We start from the raw sequence: 23,369 nt of genomic DNA, 5'->3' as shown, positions 1-23,369 counted from the left end.
GGGTTCAAGCAATTCTCCTGCCTCAACCTCCCAAGTAGCTGGGATTACAGACATGCACCACCATGCTCGGCTAATTTTTACATTTTTAGTAGAGACAGGGTTTCGCCATGTTGGCCAGGCTGGTCTCAAACTCCCAGCCTCAAGTGATCTACCCACCTTGGCCTCCCAAAGTGCTGGGATTACAGGCATGAGCCACCACACCTGGCACCCCCTTTGCTGATTCTGCTTCATATCCACTTCTGGTAATAAATCACAGCCACGAGTACGACATCTCCTGTGAGTCCTCCTAGTGGATCATCAAGACTGGGGTGGTCTTGGGGGAACCCAGCACACCTCCTCCACACTCAACCCCCAAGTCTAGACCAGCACCATTCTACTCCTAATGGCCTCCACCTACCACTGCTTTCCTCCCTGAGCCCACGCTCCTCACAGGTGGGCTGGGGGGTGCGGTTCTGTTAAAACCACAGGTGCATTGCACCACTCACCTAAACACGTCACTGGCTCCCAGCGGGCTTAGAACATGGGCCAAGGTTCTTTTCCTGCACTTCCAAGCCCTGAACAATCTGGAAGCTGCTTCTTCTTCAGTCAGCTCACACCACTCTCTCTCCACTTCTCCCTGCTGCCTTCACACCATCTTCCATGGGCCCTGGATGCAACCAGTTCTCTGCTCCATGGGGAATTTTATCAATGTTGTTCCTAAGCCTGATATCCTCTCTCCGAACCTCCTGACAGCCCAACAGCTGACCAAGCTAAATGTTATAGTATTTATCATGGTCTAGGTCAGGGTTTGACCCCCAGGGGACATTTGGCAATGTCTGGTGTTGAGCTGTCGAGCTGTCATTCCAAAATACCATGCGCTAGGTGACTTAACAGAAATTTGCTGCTAACAGTTCTGGATGCTGGAAGTTTGAGATCAGGATGCCAGCATGGTTGGTTCCTGGTGAGGGCTCCCTTCCTGGCTTGCAGATGGCTGCCTTCTGGCTGTGTCCTCACATGGGCGAGAGAGCTCTGGTGTCTCTTCCTCTTCTTGTAAGGGCATGAGTTCTGTTGGTTCAGGGCTTCACCCTTATGACCTTATTTAACCTTTATCACCTCCTTAGAGGTCCCATTTCCAATGGCACCTTCGGGGGAGACAATAGGGCTTCAACATGAACTTGGAGAAGGGGAGCACAATTCAGTCTGCAGCATCTAGAGACATTTTAGCTTTTCATGACTAGGGGGTATGTGGCTGTTATGAGCTGAATTGTATTACCTCAAAAATTCATATCTTGAAGTCTTAACCCCTAGTATCTTATCTCACCCCTGGTAACCATATTTGAACATAGAGTCTTTAGAGGTAATTAAATTAAAATGATGTCAGTAGGGCGGGCCCTAGCCCAATATGACTGGTGTACTCACAAGACGTATTAGTCTGCTTTGCACTGCTATAAAGAACTACCTGAGACTGGGGAATTTATAAAGAAAAGAGGTTTAATTGGCTCCTGGTTCCACAGGTTGTACAGGACGCATGGCTGGGGAGGACTCGAGAAACTTACAATCATGGCGGAAGGCAAAGGGGAAGCAGGCACGTGCTACATGGCTGGAGCAGGAGGAAGAGAGTGAAGGGGGAGGTGCTACACACTTTTAAACAACCAGATCTCGTGAGAACTCACTCACTATCAAGAGAACAGCAAGGGGGAAGTCCACCCCCATGATCCAGTCACCTCCCACCAAGCCCTTCCTCCAACACTGGAGATTACAATTTGACATGAGATTTAGGTGGGGACACAAATCCAAACCCTATCACAAGAAGACGACATTTGGACACAGACATGGACAGAGGGAAGATGATGTGAAGATATAGAGAGAAGATGGCCATCTACACACCAAGGAGAGGCTTCAAAAGGAACCAACACTGCCAACACCTTGCTCTCGAGCTTCTGGCCTCCAGAACGGTGAGACAATATATTTTTGCTGTTTAATCCACCCAGCTGGTGGAACTTTGATATGGCAGCCCTAGCAAACTCATAGAGGAAAAGTGCTCGTAGCATCTAGTGAGTTGAGGCCAGGGATGCTGCTCAGCATCCTATAATGCACAGGACGGCCCACAGCTGAGAGTGAACAGGCCCATTATCAGCAGTGCTGCAGTAGCCCATTATCAGCAGTGCTGCAGTTGAGAAACCCTGGCCTAAGCTTAAATATCCATCCTTTCCCAGAACTCTCCCGTCCCCTGAGATGAAGTCCTTGTATAACACACTTCCACTGGACTCTGTTATTCATTTCGAACTCTGACCACCCAGCTGACCGTGAGCTCCACGGAGGAGGGGTCGGTGTTTTCTTTGTGACTGTTTCCTGGTCCCCATCTCACCATCGGATGACAGTAGTGGTGTTACCCGCTTCAAGAAGTAACAAAATAGGTCAGGCACGGTGGCTCACACCTGTGGTCCCAGCACTTTGGGAGGCCGAGGTGGGCGGATCACCTGAAGTCAAGAGTTCGAGACCAGCTTGGCCAACATGGTGAAACCCCGTCTTTACTAAAAATACAAAAATTAGCCGGGCATGGTAGCGCACCCCTGTAATCCCAGCTACTCGGGAGGCTGAGGCAGGAAAATCGCTTGAACCCGGGAGGCAGAGGTTGCAGTGAGCCGAGATCGTGCCACTGCACTCCAGCCCAGGTGACAGAGCGAGATGCTGTCTCAATTAAAATAAAATAAAAAAAGAAGAAGTAACAAAATAGAGCCTGGCCCAGAAGACTTACCAAAAATATACTGAAGAGCAACACAAGACTTAGATCTAAGAATTGTTCCCTGTCAAGAAGAAAACAGAGATTCCAGACACAAGAGTGGATGGCACTTTTAAGAAACAAAGTTTATGGCCGGGCGCGGTGGCTCACGCCTGTAATCCCAGCACTTTGGGAGGCCGAGGCGGGCGGATCACGAGGTCAGGAGATCGAGACCATCCTGGCTAACACGGTGAAACCCCGTCTCTACTAAAAATACAAAAAATTAGCCGGGCGTGGTGGTGGGCGCCTGTAATCCCAGCTACTCGGGAGGCTGAGGCAGGAGAATGGCATGAACCCAAGAGGCGGAGCTTGCAGTGAGCCGGGATAGTGCCACTGCAGTCCAGCTTGGGCGAAAGAGTGAGACTCCGTCTCAAAAAAAAAAAAAAAAAAAAGAAACAAAGCTTATTATTCTTACTAGAAGGCCAACTAGAAGAAAACAAACACCTTACTGTTAAAGTTAAAATGTTATTTGTCTTCTAGAATTAATTTCTTCCCCACTTCTCAGGAGAAGTGGCTTTGAACCTATTTCTTTAGAGACAGGGACTCATTCTGTCACCCAGGCTGCAAAGTGCAATAAAGCGACTGTAGTTCACATCAGCCCTGACCTCCTGGGCTCAAGCGATCCTCCTGCCTCAGCCTCTTAAGTAGCTGGGACTTGAGAGGCACCATGCACAGCTAATTTTTTTTTTTTTTTTTTTTTTAGAAATAGGGGTCTCACCATGTTACCCAAGCTGGTCTTGAACTCCTGGCCTCAAGCAATCCTCCCGCCTAGGCCTTGCAAAGCACTGGGATTAAAGGCATGAGCCACTGCAACCGGCCTGAACCTCATTTATAAAAACACAGTTAAAACACAGGCCATTTCTAGTAAATTCAATCATAATTTTTCAAAATCAACATTATCGTGTAGTCAAGAATTTCATGTTGCCCAAAGAGAGGTCTGGCCTTTGCTGTGGTTGAGTGAGCCCTCTCTTTCTTAAAGATCTGTCACTGGAAGTGCCCTCCCACTTAAACACACAAATAATGAGAGAGGCCTTCTGTATCCTCTCTATGGTGCCACGGCAGTGCCTGCAGTCAGAGGAAATGCAGGCAGGATAGGATACAAGTTCCTGGACAGAACACAAGGACAGCAGGGCCCTCTGGCCACGTGTTCCACGCAGCACTCACTCACCAGAATCCCTGGCCACCCATGGGTTGCGGTGGCCCAGAGTAGGCACTGGTATCACCACCCTCTGAATCTGCATAGCGGCCTTCAGTCCCTGGACAGAGTGACAGGGGTCACAGATTAGAGTCAAGAAGCTGAGGGGGCCACTCACACCTGCTCACCCCAAATGAACGTGCATATTTGATCCTGCTTTGGGGAACATATTAATAAAAGAAGAGAGAGACCCATTTACCTTGTCAGGATTTACCCAATCCTTAAATACAAAGCTAATCACTGTGATCCAAAATGGCCTGGAGAGAGGGCACCCAGGCAGGGGCTGGGGAAGGTGGCACCCTCCAAGGAGGCTCCAGAAGTCAGGGAAAAGCTGGGAAAAAAGTGGGGAGTGGATGGCCAGGAGGTTGAGGGGTGGAGGGAAGATGGAGTTTGGAGGTGGACCTGCGTGAATGCGGAGCAGGCAGTCAGTGAGTTTTTCTGGGAGGAAGACCTCTCCTTGGAGTAGGATGTGGTCTCTTCTCTGCTGGCAGCTGCTCGCTCAGGAAACACGTCTGACCTGACTTGCACTTCTAAGGGATCCCTCTGGCCTCTGTGTCCAGGGTGGAGCCCAGGTGCCTGTCAGGAGCAGAACTGGAGTCCAGGAGAACTAACGGTGGCTCTGGGCAGGATGGCAGCAGCAGGGACAGGAGAGGCAGCTGGAGGTGGGTTACATTTTGGAAATAACGCTAGCAGGACTTGGTGGTGGATGGGAGGTTGGGGGGTACATGCAGCAGGTCCCTCGGGGGAGGGAACAGGGCAGGGACGAGTGGGAAGAGGCCTTTTCTCCTCATGCAGGGCTCAGGACGTGCCTTACAGCAGCAGTCACCAACCTTTTTGGCACCAGGGACCAGTTTCATGGAAGACAATTTTTCCACAAAGCAGGGTAGGGGTATGGTTTTAGCATGAAACTGTTCCACCTCAATTATCAGGCATTAGTTAGATTCTCATAAGGAGCCTGCAGCCTAGATCCCTCGCATGCACAGTTCACAATAGGATCAGCTGCTGCTGATCCGACAGGAGGCGGAGCTCAGGCATGGATGCTCGCCGCTCACCTCCTGCTCTGCAGCCTGGTTCCTAACAAGCTAGGGGCTAGTACTGGTCCACGGCCTGGGGGTTAGGGACCCTTGCCTTACGGCATCTCTCTCCCATTCTCTCTCTGCCTTGGTAAGGACACGCAGGGCCCTGAGCCAAGAGGTCCTCACTTCCCTGAGCCTGGATGCTCCCTTGCCCAGCCCTCAGGTCATAGGACCTGCCAGTTCCTGTCAGTTTCGAGGTTATGGAAGCAGTGGGGCTGGGGTGGAAGGACAGGAAGAAAAAAGGCTGGACCAGGAAAGGCAGGGCCTACAGTCCAACAACCAGACCCTCCCCCAGGACCCGCCCTGGAGCCCGCCATCACCCTGGGGACAAGTATATTCAACACAGAAACAGACTCCACCACCCCAAGCCCACAGCCTGGGCCTCCTACAGGCCCCAAACACCCTCCTTTCCCTCCCCTCCCCCAATTTACAGACAACCCACACCCCAGGCCTTCCTGACTGCACCTGGTGCCATCACAGTGAACCTCTCCCAGGCTTACCGTGCATCCCAGAGACCAAGGCGGCTCCTGGAGAGCTGGCCGGTCCTCTCGAGTCAATGGTGTCTCCCTCTCTTCTATGGAGGGCACCAGCTGCATCCTCAGGAACAGCCCCGGCCCCTGGCAAAAGACAAGAGGGTGCTGAGCAGGACAGAGTTGGCACCACAGCTGTTCTCAGCCCGAGAGACCTTTGGTTTGGGGCTTAGGGCTGCCAGAAGTCAAGGCAAATGGGGATGGGTGCAGTGGCTCATGCCCATAATCCCAGCACTTTGGGAGGCTGAGGTGAAGAATTGCTTGAGGCCAGGAGTTCAAGAGCAGCCTGGCCAACATGGCGAAGCCCCATTGATATGGTTTGGCTCTGTCCCCATCAAAATCTCATCTTGGATTCCCACGTGTTGTGGGAGGGACCCAGTGGGAGGTAACTGATTCATGGGGACAGGTCTTTCCCATGATTGTTCTCGTGATAATGAGTAAGTCTCACGAGATCTGATGGTTATTATAAGGGGAGTTTCCCTGCACAAGGTCTCTTTACTTGCTGCCATCCATGTAAGACGTGACTTGTTCCTCCTTGCCTTCTGCCATGATTGTGAGGCTTCCCTGGCCACATGGAACTGTAAGTCCAATTAAACCTTTCTCTTTTGTAAATTGCCCAGTCTCGGGTATGTCTTTATCAGCAGTGTGAACACAGACTAATACACCCATCTCTACTAAAAATACAAAAATTAGCCAAGTGTGGTAGTGTACATCTAAGCTCCCAGCTGTTTAGGAGGCTGAAGCATGAGAATCACTTGAACCTGGGAGGCAGAAGTTGCAGTGAGCTGAGATCACAACACTGCACTCCAGCCTGGACGACAGAGCGAGATTGTGTCTTAAAAAAAAAGTCAGGGTACACAGGTCTGACATCTGGTAGCCTCAGACCTAGTAACTACTCCCCACCTACGGCAGTCACCAGCTACCACCGAGGGTCTCGAGGCTTGAACACACTGCAGATACAAAGACAGACCTGAGGTTAGGACAGAGCCCCTGAAGAGGCTATGAGACATTTCACTATAGAAAGGTGTGGCACAGAGGGATGGCCGTGTGAAGAGGCAGCAGGAGGGTGGCCACCTGCAAGCCAAGGAGAGAGTCCTCAGGAGAACCCAGCCCTGCCGCCACCTTGATCTTGGGCTTCCAGCCTCCATAAGGGTGAGAAAATAAGTTTCTGCTGTTTAAGTCACCCAAAAACCAAAAAAGAAAGCAAGGTCGGGAGATCTTGGTTCTGAACAGGAATGCTGTCCTTGTCCACAGGGCATCCATCATTCACAGGGCCAAACTGCCTGCCAACTTCATCTCCAAATCCCGTGACCCACAGCCCACATGCCGTACCAGCTCCTTATCTCACTCTCACCCAGCCAATATTTCCCCTGCCCTAAATCAACCAGGGACAGCACCTATCCCCCAAGGTCCACTAAAATTATTCAAACTGACAAATCCTGAGTGGTTTACCCTGTGGAAACTCCAAGAAAGGCTCTGGCCTGGGCTATCCCCTCGCTCCTTTCTGCCTCCAGGCTGACCTTGGTGCTTCCCTGTGTGGACCTGTGTGGCATGGTGTGCCCTGTCCTCCCAGGAAATACAAGTAATCAAAATTTTCCAATGACATTGGCCTCTCTGTGTCATAAATCAAAATCCCACGGGTACATTTTGAGACAAATGTTTCCATCAGAATCATTTTGACACAGGTCACTCAACTTAAAGAAACTGTTTTTAGGCGTTCTGCCTATTTGTCGAACAAATATGTACTGGGCTGATATGGTCTGGCTGTGTCCCCACCCAAATCTCATCTTGAATTGTAGTTCCCATAATCCCCGTATGTCATGGGAGGGACCCGGTGGGAGGTAATTGAATCATGGAGGCAGTTACCCCCATGCTGCTGTTCTCGAAATAGTGAGTGAGTTCTCACAAGATCTGATGGTTTTTTTTTTTTTTTTTTTTGAGACGGAGTCTTGCTGTCGCCCAGGCTGGAGTGCAGTGGCGCGATCTCGGCTCACTGCAAGCTCCGCCCCCTGGGGTTCACGCCATTCTCCTGCCTCAGCCTCCCAAGTAGCTGGGACTACAGGCGCCCGCCACCACGCCCGGCTAATTTTTTGTATTTTTAGTAGAGACGGGGTTTCACCATGTTAGCCAGGATGGTCTCGATCTCCTGACCTCATGATCCGCCCGCCTCGGCCTCCCAAAGTGCTGGGATTACAGGTGTGAGCCACCACGCCCGGCCACGATCTGATGGTTTTATAAGGGGTTTTTCCCCCTTTTGTTTATACTTCTCCTTGCTGCCCACCATGTGAAGGATGTGTTTGCGTCCCCTGCCGCCATGTTGTAAGTTTCCTGAGGCCTCCCCAGCCATGCTGAACTGTGAGTCAATTAAACCTGCATCCTTTATAGATGACCCAACTCGGGTATCTCTTTATCAGCAGGGTGAGAACAGACTAAGACATGGGCACTGCTAGTGCAGGCCCTGCGGATGCAGCAGAGGATGAAAGCAGCAACACTGCAGCCTCAAGGAGCCAGGTGTCTGCAGAAGAGGCAGCTGTGGGGTGGGCCTGGGACAGAAGAAGGGCTGAGCCTGGAGAGGCCTGTTCCTCAGCCTCCCTTGGGGAGTTTTATTTTTCTTTTTTTGAGACAGAATCCTGCTCCGTCACCCAGGCTGGAGAGCAGTGGTGCAAACACATGGCTCACTGCAGCCTTGAATTCCTGGGCTCAAGCAATTTTCTCGCCTTAGCCTCCCAAGTAGCTGAACTACAGGTGCACACCACCACACCTAGCCATGACTAATTTTTGTATGTTTTGCAGAGATGGGTTCTTGCTATATTGCCCAGGCTGGTTTCAAAATCCTGGGCTCCAGTGGTCCTCCCACCTCAGCTTCCGGAGTTGCTGGGATTCTGGGGTGAGGCCCTGTGCCTGGCTTCCTTGGGACTCTTCTAAGAGCAGTTTCCCACCCTCCTCTTCACTGGTCCCTCTGCTGGACCAGCCGACCAAAGAGAGGGAGGCCATGGGGACTCAATCTGTCCCTGGCCATCAGCACTTTTTCCCATGTGACAGGGAGGTCTCGGAGCCACCATACAGGGTCTCAATGATTGTGACAAGGCACAATGATGCCTGGCATGGCCTGGAAGGGCTACCTAAAGGGTCAGCACCATCAACCCAGCAGCAGGTTGTATGATCGTCAGGCAGTAGAACCTGACAGCTGAGACTGTGGTCTCTGCGGTTAGGTCTGGGTTCAACTCCTAGCTCCAAACCCACCTCTACTACTCACGGGCTGGATGTCTTCAGGGATGAACTCCTCAGCTTCTCTAAACGTGTGTCCATAGGTGGACCTCCTCTGCCCACTCAGAATAGTCTGTGACCGCCTGTTTCCTGGGGCTCTGATGTAACAAGAGCCCCATGCCTGCCACTCTCAGCACCCATTATGGAGGGGCTTGCTGGGCTGGGTGTGGAGTTCTGTGGAGGGCACTGGAGCCCTGTACTGAAAGGAGAGAGCCCACAGAAACAAAGAGGGCACCGGGCCCTCGTTGCTCATTCTCCCTCCCTCTCTCCTTTCTTCACATGGGGTCCACCTGCTGAGCAAGAGAGACATGGAGGTGGAGGATGGGAACTGGAGATGCCTTCTGCAACACCTTATCCATTCCTTCCTTCATTCAACAAGCACTGGGGGCTACATGACACACAGAATGCCCTGCAATGGGAGCCTGCACAACACAGCAAGACTTCGTCTCCAAAACAATTTTTTAAAATCAGCCAGGTGTAGTGGTGCGTGCCTGTAGTCCCAGCTACTCGGGAGGAGGCTGAGGCAGGAAGAGCACTTGAGCTAATAAGTTCAAAGCTACAGGGAGCTATGATCGTGCCAGTGCACTCCTGCCTAGGTGACAGAACAAGACCCCATATCTATTTAAAAAGAAAAGAAAGAAAAAAGGATGTTCTGTAATGAGGCTTACCGCAACCACCACATCGGATGAGGAACCTGCAATCCAGCAGCCCTGATAAGACATTCTCAGAAGTCAAGGTCTCAAAACCCAAGCACCTGATCCCAAGGAGCTACTGGAGGGTGTTCTCCACCAAAACAAGAGTGTAAACCAAGGGCGAGGAGGGCCTGGGGAGTGAGGAGGGCTGTCAGCTGCCCAGGGGTCTGTTGCAGCCAGGCAGGTTGTGAGTTTTGGCTGATCTGCAGCCCACACCAAGCTGCACAGGGTTGAGGCTTCTCTGTGTTCCAGAAGCTTCCCTGGCAAAGAAGTTGAATGTGGGTCTCTAAAACCGAGGCCACTGCACCCCATCCACTGTGTGGGGCATCCCTGACGCTCTGATGCTGACACCCATCCATGACACAGGGGAAGGGGCACTGACTGAGGGATCCCGGGGTTCTCACTGACCCTGGGACTAATACGCCCCACTTGGGGGTGAGGCTGAGCTCTGTGCCTCCTTCTAACCAAACCCTAACTCTAACTTTCACCAATACTCAGGAATGGGAACTCAAACTTTGGAAGGTCCTCTTGTTTGAGGCGGAGGAAATTCAGGGCCAAAGGGGGGATGGTGGGGACTCCGTGTATATTTTCTCCTGTACTATTAATGTACAAGCTCATATGGAAGGCTTTTTCCACACTGAAAAGGGCTTCCTTCCAGTGTGGGATCTAGACTGGTCTCCTAAGAAGAAAAGGATGCCCAACAACTTTCCCACATTCTTTCCAATCAAAGTGGCCTCTGTCTTGCCAGTTCTCTCACCCACATCCAGGTTACAGCTCCTCCAGAAACATTTCCTGCCTCCTTTCAACTCATCAGGAGCCTTTTCTCCAGGTGGAGCTTGCTCCTGACAAGAGGTGAGTAATGGCTGGGCCCACTGGCTCACACCTGTAGTCCCAGCTACTTGGGTGGCTGAGGTGGGAGGAACACATGAGGCCAGGAGTTCGAGATCATCCTGGGCAACATAGCAAGACCCCATCTCTAAGAAAAAAAAAAAGAAAGAAAAAGAAAAAAATTAGCTGGGCATGGTGACTCAGGCCTGTGGTCCCAGGTACTCGGGAGGCTGAGGTAGAAGGATCGCTTGAGCCCAGGAGTTTGAGGCTGCAGTGAGCCATGAACATGCCACTGCATTCCAGCCTGTGTGGCAGAGCAAGACCCTGTCTTTTAAAAACCAAAAAAAGAGGTGAATGATGGTGGAAAGCTCGCCAATATCTGTGCCAGTGCCCAGGGGTCCTCCCCACCGGGAGCATATTCTCAGCATTTTCAAGCCATGCCTTGTTTAGACAGCTGGAGTTCGTCGAGTGTGTTGCCAGCTCTACCACAGGGCTGCCTCCTATTCACAATGGGGCTTCTCTACCAGGAGGGGTTTTTCTGACAGTTGCTGAGGAGGAAGTCGTATTTCGCACGCTCAATGTCTGACTCACATTTATTAAAATGTTTCCTTCAGGAAACCTTCTAGAAAAAAAGAATCTTGAGGCAGGCAGATCACTTGAGGCCAGGAGTTCGAGACCAGCCTGGCCAACACAGTGAAACCCTGTCTCTACCAAAAAATACAAAAATTAGCCAGACGTGGTGGTGCACGCCTGCAGTCCCAACTACTCGGGAGGCTGAAGCAGGAAAATCACTCGATCCTGGGAGGTGGAGGCTGAAATGAGCCGAGATCATGCCACTGCACTCCAGCCTGGGTGACAGAACAAGACTCTGTCTCAAAAAAAAAAAAAGTCTTGAGCAACAGTCTGGGTTTGCCCAAATTCAGAAGTCACAGGCACTCCCCTCAGACACTGTTTCCCTTCCAAGAGACACCCATGCTGCTAACATCTCCCTGGCTCTGGTCCTGTATTTCCACCTCACGTGTTCCTCAACTTCTCCCATGCTGGGAGCCGGGGAAAACCCCGTGCATCTTACCATTTGCATGTCCCTGGAGGATGCTTCTTCCAAAAGATCCTGCATAGAAGGCAACTCTTCGGGTTTAAGTTGAGATTCCCAGGCTGAAATGAATGGGAGAAAAAATGAACTCCTTTCAGAAAGAAATAGTGACATTAATTGAAAATATATATTCACATATATATGTGAATATATATACACACTATACACACATAGGCTTTTTCTTTTAATGTTGAATATAAATATTCAAATTTTAATACCGAATACATATATTCAAGTTGAGATTTCCAGTCTGAAATGAATTGGGAAAAAATAAACTCCTTTCAAAAAGAAATAGTGGCATAAAATTGAAAATATATATGTGTGTATATATATATATATATATATATATATATATATATATCTATATTTGTGTGTGTGTACACACATACATGTTTTTTGTTTTTTGTTTTTTGTTTTTTTTGAGACAGAGTCTTGCTCTTTCGCCCAGGCTGGAGTGCAGTGGCGCAATCTTGGCTCACTGCAACCTCTGCCTCCTGAGTTCAAGCAATTCTCTGCCTCAGCCTCCCAAGTAGTTGGGATTACAGGTACCCGCCACCACGTCTGGCTAATTTTTTTTGTATTTTTAGTAGAGACAGGATTTCACCATCTTGGCCAGGCTGGTCTTGAACTCCTGACCTTGTGATCCACCCACCTCAGCCTCCCAAAGTGCTGGGATTACAGGCATGAGCCACATGTTTTCTTTACTTTTTATTTTTGAGATAGGGTCTCACTCTGTCACCCAGGCTGGAGTGCAGTGGTGCGATCTTGGCTCACTGCAACCTCCACCTCCCAGGTTCAAGCAATTCTTGTGCCTCAGCCTCCCAAGTAGCTGGGATTACAGGCATGCACCACCATGCCCAGCTAATTTTTTTTTTTTTTTTTTTTTTGAGACGGAGTCTCACTCTGTCGCCCAGGCTGGAGTACAATGGCATGATCTCGGCTCACTGCAACCTCCGCCTCCCAGGTTCAAGTGATTCTAGTGTCTCAACCTCCTGAGTAGCTGGGATTACAGGCGCGCACCACCATGTCAGGCTAATTTTTGTATTTTTAGTAGAGACAGGGTTTCACCATGTTGGGCCAGGCTGGTCTCGAACTCCTGACCTGAAGTGATCCACCCAAAGTGCCGGGACTGCAGGCATGAGCCACCATGCCCAGCCCAGCTTTTAATACTGACCTTAGACTTGGGAAGATCCTGAAAGGGAAGACAGCATCTGTATGTAGGGCTATGTGTGGACTCTGGCAGTCATAGGAATGAGGGGAAAATGAGAGGCAATTTCCTAGCTAAGAATTCTATGAGGACTGAGACTATTTCCAGAAAGCAGATGTTATTAGAAAAAAGAGTAAGAAAGAACTAGACAAAGAACATACATAAAAAGGTTAAATTTAAAGAGGAATTGGATGACAAGTATGGGCGAGAATGTGGATAAATCAAAACTCTCATCTCCGCTGGTGGGAATGTAAAATGGTGTACCTGTGTTGGAAAGTGGTACGACAGTTGCTCAAGAAGTTAAGCATAGCATTACCATATGAGCCAGCAATTCTGCTCCTCAGTATATACCTAAGAGAATTAAGTACATGTCTACATAAATCTTGTACACAAGGCCAGGCACGGTGGCGCACGCCTGTAATCCCACCACTCTGGGAGGCCAAGGTGGGAGGATCACCCAAGCCCAGGAGTTCAAGACCAGCCTGGGCAACATAGGAAGAATGGTCTCTAGAAAAAAATTTAAAATTAGCCAGGCATGAGGGCATGCACCTGTGGTCCCAGCTATTCAAGAGACTGAGGTGGGAGGATTGCTTGAGCCCAAAAGGCTGAGGCTGCAGTGACCTATGATTGCACCACTGCACTCCAGCCTGGGCGACAGAACAAGACCCTATCTCAAAAAAAAAAAAAAAAAAAAAAGAAAAGAAAAAAGAAATATTGTACACAAACATTCACAGCAACATTATTCACAATAGCTAAAAAGTAGAAACAATCCAACTGTCTATCAACTGATGAACAAATAATCAAAATATAGCTTATCCATACAATGTATATTATTCAGCCTTAAAAAAGGAATTAAGTTCTGATTCATGCTACAACATGGATGGATCTGGAAAACATAAAGCTAAGTGAAAGAAGACAGATACTGCTGTAGTTTAAGTGTGTCCTCCACAGTTCATGGGTTGGAAGCAATTCCCATACAACAGTATTGAGAGCTGGAACTTTAAAAGGTGATTAGGTGGCCGGGCACAATGGCTCACGCCTGTAATCCCAGCATTTTGTGAGGCTGAGGTGGGTGGACCACGAGATGAGGAGTTCTCGACCAGCCTGACCAACACAGTGAAACCCCATCTCTACTAAAAATACAAAAATTAGCCGGGTGTGGTGGTGTGCACCTGTAGTCCCAGCTACTCAGGAGACTCAGGCAGGAGAATCGCTTGAACCCAGGACGCAGAGGTTGCAGTGAGCCGAGATCGTACCACTGCACTCCAGCCTGGGTGACAGGGCGAGACTCTGTCCCAAAAAAAAAAAAAAAAAAAAAAAAAGGTGATTAGGTCACGAGGAATCTGCCCTGTGATTACTTCAGAAGGGGGTTAGTTATCTCAAGAGTGGCCTTGCTGTAAAAACCAGTCTGGGCCTCTCTTGTTCTCTTGCAACATGATCTCGTCCACCATGTTATGATGCTGCAAGAAGGCCCTTACCAGATGCAGCCCCTCAGCCTTAGACTTCCCAGCCTCCAGAACCAGGAGTCAAATAAACTTCTATTGTTTATAAACTACCCAGTCTAACTTACTTGCAACACAAAACTATTATACTAAGCCGGATACCAAAGGCTACTTATGATACGATTTCCATATACAAATGTCTATATAGGACAATCCATAGAGACAGAAAGCAGATTAGTGGCTGCCAGGGGCTGAGGGAGGGGTAATGGGGAGTAACTGCCCATGGGGACAGGGTTTCTACTTGGCGTGATGAAAATGTTCTGGAATTGGGTAGTGGTGATGTTTACACAAGGTTGTGAACCACTGAACTGCACACTTTAAAGGGGTGAATTTCATGGTGTGTGACTTATAGCTCTAATTTTTGCTTTGTTTTGTTTTTTGGAGACAGAGTCTCGCTCTATCCCCCAGGCTGGAGTGCAGTGATGCAATCTTGGCTCACTGCAACTTCTACCTCCCAGGTTCAAGCAATTCTCATGCCTCAGCCTCCCAAGTAGCTGGGATTACAGGTGTGCACCATCACATCCGGCTAATTTTTGGTAGAGATGGGGTTTTGCCATGTTGGCCAGGCTGGTCTCGAACTCCTGACCTCAGGTGATCCACCAGCCTCGGCCTCCCAAAGTGCTGGGATTACATGCAAGAGCCACCACACCTGGCCCTCTAATTTTTTAAGAGAAATTAGAACAAATCTTTTTCTGAAACCAAAGGAAAGTAGGAGAGGAGGGCTAGAAAGTGAAAATAGAAGAGAAGCTAAAGGAACTTGAGAAACCTCACTCCGAATGGCCTTCGATGTCCCCTCAGAACAAAGGGCCTTTGAAAATGCTCTTGACACTTCCCAAGGCACACCACCCAACCAGGGGGGTCGGGGGATCCACAGCCTGCCTGGTACTCACCAACACCTGTGGCACGGAGAATCCCTCGTTCTGTTGCCTTTGGCTCTGCTCTTTGCCCCAGCTGGGAGACACAACTGGGTTTGCATGGTGGAGTTCCTGCACATGAAGAAAGACACAGGCACTGAGAGAGAGAGGGCTTGCAGGGGAAAACAAACTCTTGTTTCTCAACTCAAACTCTCCTTCAGCTTCAATATGGGCTTCAGATTCTCTGGGCTGAGCAAGTGTGATGGGTAGCAAAGGGATCTTGCCCAATAGCTAATGAACTCAGGACCCAACCCACAAACACCCTCCCCTCTGCCCCAAGGGGCTGAGGCTGTCTCACCTCAGAAGCCTGGGGCCAAATTCAAGGAGACCCAAACAGGGCCTTACTACAGAGGGAAAGAAGTCAATGCAACAGATGAAGCTTTGTCATCCTGTGGACGCTAAGTGCCACAAAGCCTAAGCCACGTCTGTCTTCTTCACATGGCAGGCGCTTAAGAAGCATTTAGTGCCTGCGTACAGGAAGGAGCCAGGTGACGCCAGCCTTACCCCTGGAGGCCAGGGTCCTGCACTGGTCAAGCATCCTGTATTTGCACAGGCTCCTCCGTGCGCTGTCCAGCAATGCCCACTCCTGGATGAACTCCACGGCCACATCCTCAAAGGTGACGGATTCCTAAAACAGCACACACATTCTGGCTCGGCAAATACCACCCCCACCACTGAGCAGAACGACTGGTTATCACTGGAGAAGAGAAAATGTTCAGACACAGCAGGCATGGAAAATCCAGCCTAAAGCCTATTTTTGTAAATAATGTTTTCTTGGCACACAGCCACGTGCATTTATTTACAATGCATCAATGGCTGTTTTGAGGCCACAACGGCAGAACTGAATAGTTGTGACAGAGATCACATGGGCCACCAAGCTGAAATGTTTACTTTCTTTTAACATTTGGATAAATCCTAAAGTGTAAAGTTATGGCTCTCTGTGTAACTCCACTGACTTGTGATGGCAGAGCCTGTCCCTCCCTGCTTAGAGAGTTTTTCCTAAACTCCTTATTACAAATTGGCACAGCATCACAAATTTGGGATTGAAAGCTTAATTTCTGTGAAGTCCCTGGGATCCCCCAAGACTTACGTCCTTAATTATATACTTGTGAAAGTAGGACTTCCATTGCATCTGAGAGTCTTTTTCTTTTTTTCTTTTTTTTTTTTGAGACAGTCTTGCTCTGTCGTCCAGGCTGGAGTGCAGTGGCGCCATCTCGGCTCACTGCAACCTTCACCTCCTGGGTTCAAGCGATTTTCCTACCTCAGCCTCCCAAGTAGCTGGGATTACAGGCACGTGCCACACACCCAGCTAACTTTTTGTATTTTTAGTAGAGACAGAGTTTCACCATGTTGGCCAGGCTGGTCTTGAACTCCCAGCCTCAAGTGATCTGCCCGCCTCGGCCTCCCAAAGTGCTGGGATTACAGGCATGAGCCACCACGCCCGGCCTCATCTGAGAATCCTTTTAATTGCAGAATTCTTCAGAGCAGTGCTGTCCAACAGACATCACTCTCTGATGATGGGAATGTTCCATGCCTGTGCTTTCCAGAAAGGGGCTACCAGCACATGTGGCTGTTGAGCACTTGGGCAATGTGACTGGGGCGACTGAGAAACTGAGCGCTTAAACTTTTTAATTTTTTTTTTTTTTTTTTTTTTTTTAGAGACAAGGTTTTACTCTGTAGCTTAGGCTGGAGTGCAGGGTCACAATCCTAGCTCAATGCAGCCTCAATCTCCTGGGCTCAAGCTATCCTCCCACCTCAACCTCCCAAGTAGCTGCGATTCCAGGCACACACAACCATGCCCGGCTAAATGTACTGAATCTTAATTAATTTAAGCTGAATTTATATTTCTATGGCCACATGTGTTTTCAATAGGTCTCACCAGGGATGACAAGGATGGCCCTGGAGGAGCTCCGCTCAGAGCCCCAGGGTCTGCTGTGGGACTCTTCTTCCATGCCACCTCTAGAGGTCAGGCACAGAAGGAAGTCCCTAGGTCCCCTAGGGCAGGGATGAGGATGCTCCTCACTCACCCTTCCCTTTCTTCCTCAGTTGGGGACGGAAGTGGCGAGAGAGAAGACAGGGCCCAGAGGACATAGTTATCCTACATATCCACCCCTTCAGCCACAGGAGCCCCCAGTTTCCTCACCATGACACTGGAGCCAGGGTTTGAGGTCTCAGTCGGTGTTCTCCCTGCAATAAAGGAGACACTGAGGTAAAAGAAGGGGTGAGGACGGAAGCAGAGCATTTTGGGGGATCTCCAGCAGAGTGGTCACAATCAAAACCCTTACAGGACATTTATCTCCATAAGCAACATGTTGGCCCCCAAGGCACCTTTCAAACAACAGCCTCTAGTGACTGCTACTGACTCTTCCCATGTCATCAAAGGAACATTTTAACTTCTAGCTTCCCTCAAAATACTTCTAAGATCTTCTACTTTTCCTCCACTGCCCATATGAAGGTGTGATTTGATATTTATTTCTTAAACGATTTTGGCCTCTCTCTCTCCAACTGTGATGTAAACCTTTTTTTTTGAGTCTCACTCTGTTGCTCAGGCTGGAGGCCAAGGTGGGTGGATCACTTGAGGTCAGGAATTTGAAACCAGCCTGGCCAATATGGTGAAACCCCATCTCTACTAAAAATACAAAAATTAGCTGGGCATGGTGGCAAACGCCTGTAATCCCAGCTGCTCGGGAGGGAGGCTGAGGCAGTAGAGTTGCTTGAACCCAGGAGGCGGAGGTTACAGTGAACTGAGATCGTGCCACGGCATTGCAGCCTGGGCAACAGACTAAGACTCCATGTCAAGAAAAAAAAAAAAAGAATAAGGTCCAGGTCAAGCACGGTGGCTCATGCCTATAATCCCAGCACTTTGGAAGGCCGAGGCAGGTGGATCACTTGGGGTCAGGAGTTCAAGACCAGCCTGGCCAACATGGTGAAACCCCATCTCTACTTAAAATACAAAAATTAGCTGGGCATGGTGGCACACACCTGTAATCCCAGCTACTCAGGAAGCTGAGGCCAGAAAATCGCTGGAACCCGGGAGGTGGAGGCTGCAGTGAGCCCAGATCCCACACTGCACTCCAGCCTGGGTGACAGAGCAAGACTCTGTCTGAAAGAAAAAAAATAAATAAAAAGAAGATCCAATGCTAACCATGATCTTCAGGGACCTGCCTCCCTCTCTCACCTGGCTCATCCATTCAGTACTTTATTTTCTCTACTTTAGCTTTCTCTACCTGTTCTCAGCTCCTGGAACACAGCAGGCTTCGTACTGCCTGAAAGACTGTACATCTGGAATGTTCTCTCAAGTTTCCTCCGCTACCCCACTCCACAGCTAGACCCCTTGTTTAGCTACGTACAACTCATCTTGAAGGTTCAAACATTTGTTCCTTTTCAGATGTGTTTCCTGACATCCTCCCCAAGTTCTCCTGTTCCACGTTCTCATATTGCCTTTGGCACTATTAATTTACCAATATTATTAGCTAGAATAAAGCCTCCACAGGGGCAAGCACTGTAACTATTTCAGTCCCACTGTTTCCCCATGTACAGGGTCCAATTCATTGAGGGCACCCCAGTGAAAATATGCCAAATAATCAACACTCCTCAAGAATGACTCAGTATAGCTAGCCTAAGAAGGAATATGCCCACGCACACACAAAACACAGTATGAGGCCAGGTATGGTTGCTCACGCCTATAATCCCAGCACTTTGGGAGGCCGAGGCGGGTGGATCACCTGAGGTCAGGAGTTCCAGACCAGCCTGGCCAACATGGTGAAACCCCGTCTCTACTAAAAATACAAAAATTAGCCGGGCATGGTGGCGGGCGCCTATAATCACAGCTGCCTGGGAAGCTGAGGCACGAGAATTGCTTGAACCCAGGAGGCAGAAGCTGCAGTGAGCCGAGATTGTGCCACTGCACTCCAGCCTGGGTGATGAAGTGAGACTCTGTCTCAAAAAAAAAAAAAAAAAAGACAATATGACACCATAAAAATCAAATATAAGAATAACTTAAAGTGCCTGTCTTTCATAAGACATAATCACACAAGTTTCAGGTACCTTTAAGAAACAATATTAATTCTTTTTAAAAAGGCAAGGCAAGCGCATATATTCTTTGTGGAAACAAACACCTCACTCGTAAAACTGAAATCTGATGCATGATTTTCCTCTGGAGTTAATTTTTTCCTGATTTCTCAGTAGACACGAGCTTTAACCCCATTATTAAAAAAGACATCCCACTTATGGCCAACTCAATTTGAATTTCCAGTATTAACAAAGTTTATATCGTCTTTTCCCTGAAGTTCCATTAGTTTTGAAGCTCTGTGATTCACATGCTTGGGGGAAGGACTGGAGCCAACTTGAAAAGATCTGAATAACAGTCTTAGGTTTTCTTGATAATAATATTTGTGAAATAACTGAGAAACGGCTTTTCTTAACCTAACAGTGAGAAACTTGATGCCCACAGCAGAAGTAAAAGTCGTCTCAAACATAGAAAATAAAGAAAAACAAAAACAAAAAAAATTAAGAACTCCTCCTTTTGTTGTTGTTTTTGTTTTTGAGATGGAGTCTTGCTCTGTCACCCAGGCTGGAGTGCAGTGGCACAATCTCAGCTCACTGCAACCTCCGCCTCTGGGGTTCAAGCGATTCTCCTGCCTCAGCCTCCCGAGTAGTTGGGATTACAGGCGCCCACCACTACGCTCGGCTAATTTGTGTATTTTTAGTAAAGACAGGGTTTCACCATGTTGGCCAGGCTGGTCTCAAACTCCTGACCTCAGGTGATCCACCCGCCTCGGCCTCCCAAAGTGCTGGGATTATAGGAGTGAGCCACCAAGCCTGGCCAAAAGCTTTCTTATGAGAAAGAAAAAAAAGAAGAAAGAAAAAGTTATGGAAAAGGAAGAGATGCAAAGCCAAGCTAACAGATATTAAGCTAAAAGACTTCAAATTGTCAGTCTCCAAAAGAAATCTCTCGTCATCTAATTCATTCCTTAATGGAGGATGCATTCAATTTTTTAAGTAAATTTGGCCAATCAATTAAACCAGTTTGCACATGTGGACCCAGACCTCACTTTCCAGTTGCAAAGCTAGATAATATTAAGTATCATATCAAATAAAACGTGAATTACTAATTCGCAGTTATCTTGCATACTGTAGGCAAGGTAGGGCCGTCTTTATGCACTTTCCCTAAAAATTGGGAAGGACAGGTGAGAGCTGGGGCCGGTGTCACCACATTTCTGAGCTGTGGGACCTGGACTGTTTGGGATTTCCCTTTTGACAGGATGACAGCCCTGTCTGCCCGGACGGGGGGTACCTGAGAGCGAGAGACCGGGCGGCGGGCGCCCAGATGCGAGGCCCTGACTGTGTGGGCCTCACGCCGGCCACCGGCTGATCGCAGGGAGGAAACCCCTCACACAGGCGGAGCTGTTCTAGGCCCTCCAGTCCCTCCCCGCGCCAGCCGAGCCCTCCCCGCCCTCCCCGCCCTCCCGAGGGGCCGGGCCACACCTGCAAGCCAGCCGGAGACACTCCCACCGTGCCGTGCCGCACCGCGCCGCGCCGCGCAGCACAGCTCAGCCGCCGTCGGCCGCCGCCGCGCGCACTTCCGCTTCCGGTCTCGGGGCCGCCGGGAACGGAAGTGGCTGTGGCTCAGGCTGTTGTGGCCAGGGTAGCCTTAGGCGGCGGCAGAGAAACTAACGTCTTCTTTAGCCTCCAAGGAGAAATTCTAGTATTCTTACCCGGGGGATGAGGTTAGGCTCTGGAGTGGGGTCCCACAGAGCATGGAGGGTGGTGCTGGGGGCGGAGCCTATGTCCGAGAGACAGGGATAGGGGTGGGGCTTAGGTCCCGGGGCAAAAGTGGGGCGGGGCCTGTGCGCGGGGGCGGGGTGGAGTGTGGCTTGCCCTCCGATGGCTGATGGGCGGGGCTTGCACCCCAATGGCGGAGTGGGCGGGGCCTTGGTTTGCAGGGTGGTAGTAGGGGCGGGTCGTGCGCCTCAGGGGCAAAAATGGGGCGGGGCTTGTGCTTGGGGTGGGAATGGGAGCTGAACTTGCATTCGGAAGGCGGGATGAGGGGACCTGGGCTTCAAGGGTTGAGAGGGGCACACCCGACCCCTCCCCGGGTCTCTTTAGGGATGCTCAATATTTAACTTACCCTTTTCTCCTTCCTTTTCCCCAACCCCTTCCACCTTTATCCATGGGCTTAATCCAATCCCCTACAAAAATATACCCATACTTAAGATTGTTTTTGTATATTTTTATACGGCTGACCCTTAGGCAACGGGAGTTGGGGCGCCACCCTGTGCAGTGGAAAATTCACTTCTTTTGACTCCCCCAAAACCTACCTACTAATAGACTACTGTTAACCAGAAGCTTTACCAATAACATAAAGTTAGTTAACACATATTTTGTATATTATATGCCATATTCTTAAAATAAACTAAGCTCAGAGAAAAGAAAGTGTTATTAAGAAAATCATGAAGAAGAGAAAATATATTTACTCTTCGTTACGTGGAAGTGATCGTAAAGATCATAAATAAACGTCTTCATCGTCAGCTTCACCCTGAGTAGGCTGAGGAAAGGGAGGGGTTTGTCTTGCTGTCCCAAGGAGGACAAAGGTAGAAAAAAATCTACCTATAAGGGGATAGCCACAGTTCAAACCCTTGGTGTTCACGGGTCAACTAACTGTCTTTATTCTAAAAATAGGACGATGTATTTTTGTTTCTTCTACAGCTTGCCCTTCTCACTAAAAATAAGATGTGTGAATCTAAGACATAGATCTGACTTTTTAAAAACTATTTATTATGTAGTATACATAGTACATACCTATGGGAAAAGTTCAAACGGGAGGCTCACTCTATTCCTAAATTTTCCTCCCCTGAAACAACCACTGTCACTAGTTCCCTGGTATTCTTTATATATCAAGCACATGTGCAGTCATGCACCACATAACAAGGTTTTGGTCAACCACGAAACACATACACAGTTGTGATCCCATAAGGTTATAATGGAGCTGAAAATTTCTTATCACCTAGTGATGTTGTAACTGTCACAATGTTGCAGTGCAACACATTACTCACATTTAAAAAGGTTTTAAAAATATGAAAAGACCGGGCGCGGTGGCTTACGCCTGCAATCCCAAGACTTTGGAGGCCGACGCTGGTGGATCACTTGAGGTCAGGAGTTCGAGACCAGCCTGGCCAACATGATGAAACCCCCAGTCTCTACTAGTAATACAAAAATTAGCTGGGCATGGTGGCATGCGCCTGTAATCCCAGCTATTCGGGAGGCTGAGGCAGGAGAATTGCTTGAACCCAGGAGGTGGAGGGTGCAGTGACCCAAGGTCTTGCCATTGCACTCCAGCCTGTGCAACAAGAGCAAAACTCCATCTCAAAAAAAAAAATGAAAAATAGCTTATAGAATAAGGATATAAAGAAAGAAAATACCTTTATGCAGTACAATTTATCTGTGTTTTAAGCTAAATGTTCTTACAAAGAAGTTGGGCCGGGCGGGGTGGCTCATGCATGTAATCACAGCACACTTTGGGAGGCCAAGGCAGGAGGATCGCTTGAGTCCAGGAGTTCCAGATGACCAGCCTGGGCCACATAGCAAGACACTGTCTCTAAAAATAAAAATAAAAGAAATGTATCATTTAAAAAACAAAATGTACAAAGGTTCAGTTATTTCAGATAAATAAGTTTTGGAGATCTAATGTACAGCATGGTGACTGTAGTTAACAGGAACATATTATGTACTTGAAATGTGCTAAGAGGGTAGGTCTTACGTGTTCTTACCACCAAAAAAAAAAAAGCAAATATGTGAGGCGATGGATGTGCTAATTGCTTCATTATTTCACTGTATGTATATCAAAACATCAAGTTGTACACCTTAAATATATACAATTTTTATTTGTCAACTATAACTCAACAAAGCCAGGAGTAAGAAAGGAGTCAGTGGCCAAGCATGGTGGCTCACGCCTGTAATCCCAGCACTTTGGGAGGCTGAGGCAGGTGGATCACCTGAGGTCAGGAGTTCAAGACCAGCCTGGCCAACATGGTGAAACCCCGTCTCTATTAAAAATACAAAAATTAGCCGGGCATGATGGCAGGCGCCTGTAATCCCAGCTACCCGGGAGGGTGATGCAGGAGAATCACTTGAACCTGGGAAGCAGATGTTGCAGTGAGCCGAGATCGCACCATTGCAATCCAGCCTGGGCAATAGAGCTAGACTCCGTTTCAAAAAAAAAGAAGTGAGAACATCCAGTATTTGGTCTGCTGTTCCTGTGTTAGTTTGCTAAGGATAATGGCCTCCAGTGCATCCATGTCCCTG

General features: G+C 48.8%; 1 protein-coding gene across 10 annotated transcripts in view, besides 2 other annotated features; it reads right to left on the bottom strand.

Annotated features, from left to right (window-relative positions):
• Positions 1-20,916, bottom strand: part of ZNF333 (zinc finger protein 333) — a 43,956-nt gene extending 23,040 nt beyond the window's left edge. For 4 of the 10 annotated variants that reach the window (NM_001300912.2, NM_001352244.2, NM_032433.4 and 1 more), the window contains exons 1-7: positions 20,553-20,655; positions 17,209-17,252; positions 15,570-15,693; positions 15,042-15,137; positions 11,422-11,504; positions 5,533-5,649; positions 3,930-4,017 (exon numbers count right to left, since the gene is read on the bottom strand). In NM_001300912.2, the coding sequence (NP_001287841.1) occupies positions 3,930-4,017; positions 5,533-5,649; positions 11,422-11,504; positions 15,042-15,137; positions 15,570-15,693; positions 17,209-17,211 (511 nt within the window). In that variant the 5' untranslated portion in view covers positions 17,212-17,252; positions 20,553-20,655. Of the gene's footprint in view, positions 1-3,929; positions 4,018-4,358; positions 4,613-5,532; positions 5,650-8,818; positions 10,498-11,421; positions 11,506-15,041; positions 15,138-15,569; positions 15,694-17,208; positions 17,253-20,552; positions 20,656-20,782 lie in introns of those variants that run through there. The other 6 variants (NM_001352239.2, NM_001352240.2, NM_001352241.2 and 3 more) reach the window with 6 other exon arrangements.
• Positions 20,312-20,681: a silencer, noted in NCBI's record as "silent region_10263". NCBI's record gives its function as "represses an Ori minimal core promoter by ATAC-STARR-seq in GM12878 lymphoblastoid cells {active_cell/tissue: GM12878}" and the evidence as "EXISTENCE:reporter gene assay evidence [ECO:0000049][PMID:35858748]".
• Positions 21,012-21,061: a silencer, noted in NCBI's record as "silent region_10262". NCBI's record gives its function as "represses an Ori minimal core promoter by ATAC-STARR-seq in GM12878 lymphoblastoid cells {active_cell/tissue: GM12878}" and the evidence as "EXISTENCE:reporter gene assay evidence [ECO:0000049][PMID:35858748]".

The sequence above is a fragment of the Homo sapiens genome, chromosome 19 (genome assembly GCF_000001405.40).
Source record: "Homo sapiens chromosome 19, GRCh38.p14 Primary Assembly".
NCBI lineage: Eukaryota > Metazoa > Chordata > Mammalia > Primates > Hominidae > Homo > Homo sapiens.
The sequence above is the reverse complement of the archived record's forward strand: the minus strand, read 5'-3'. Positions and strand labels throughout refer to the sequence as shown.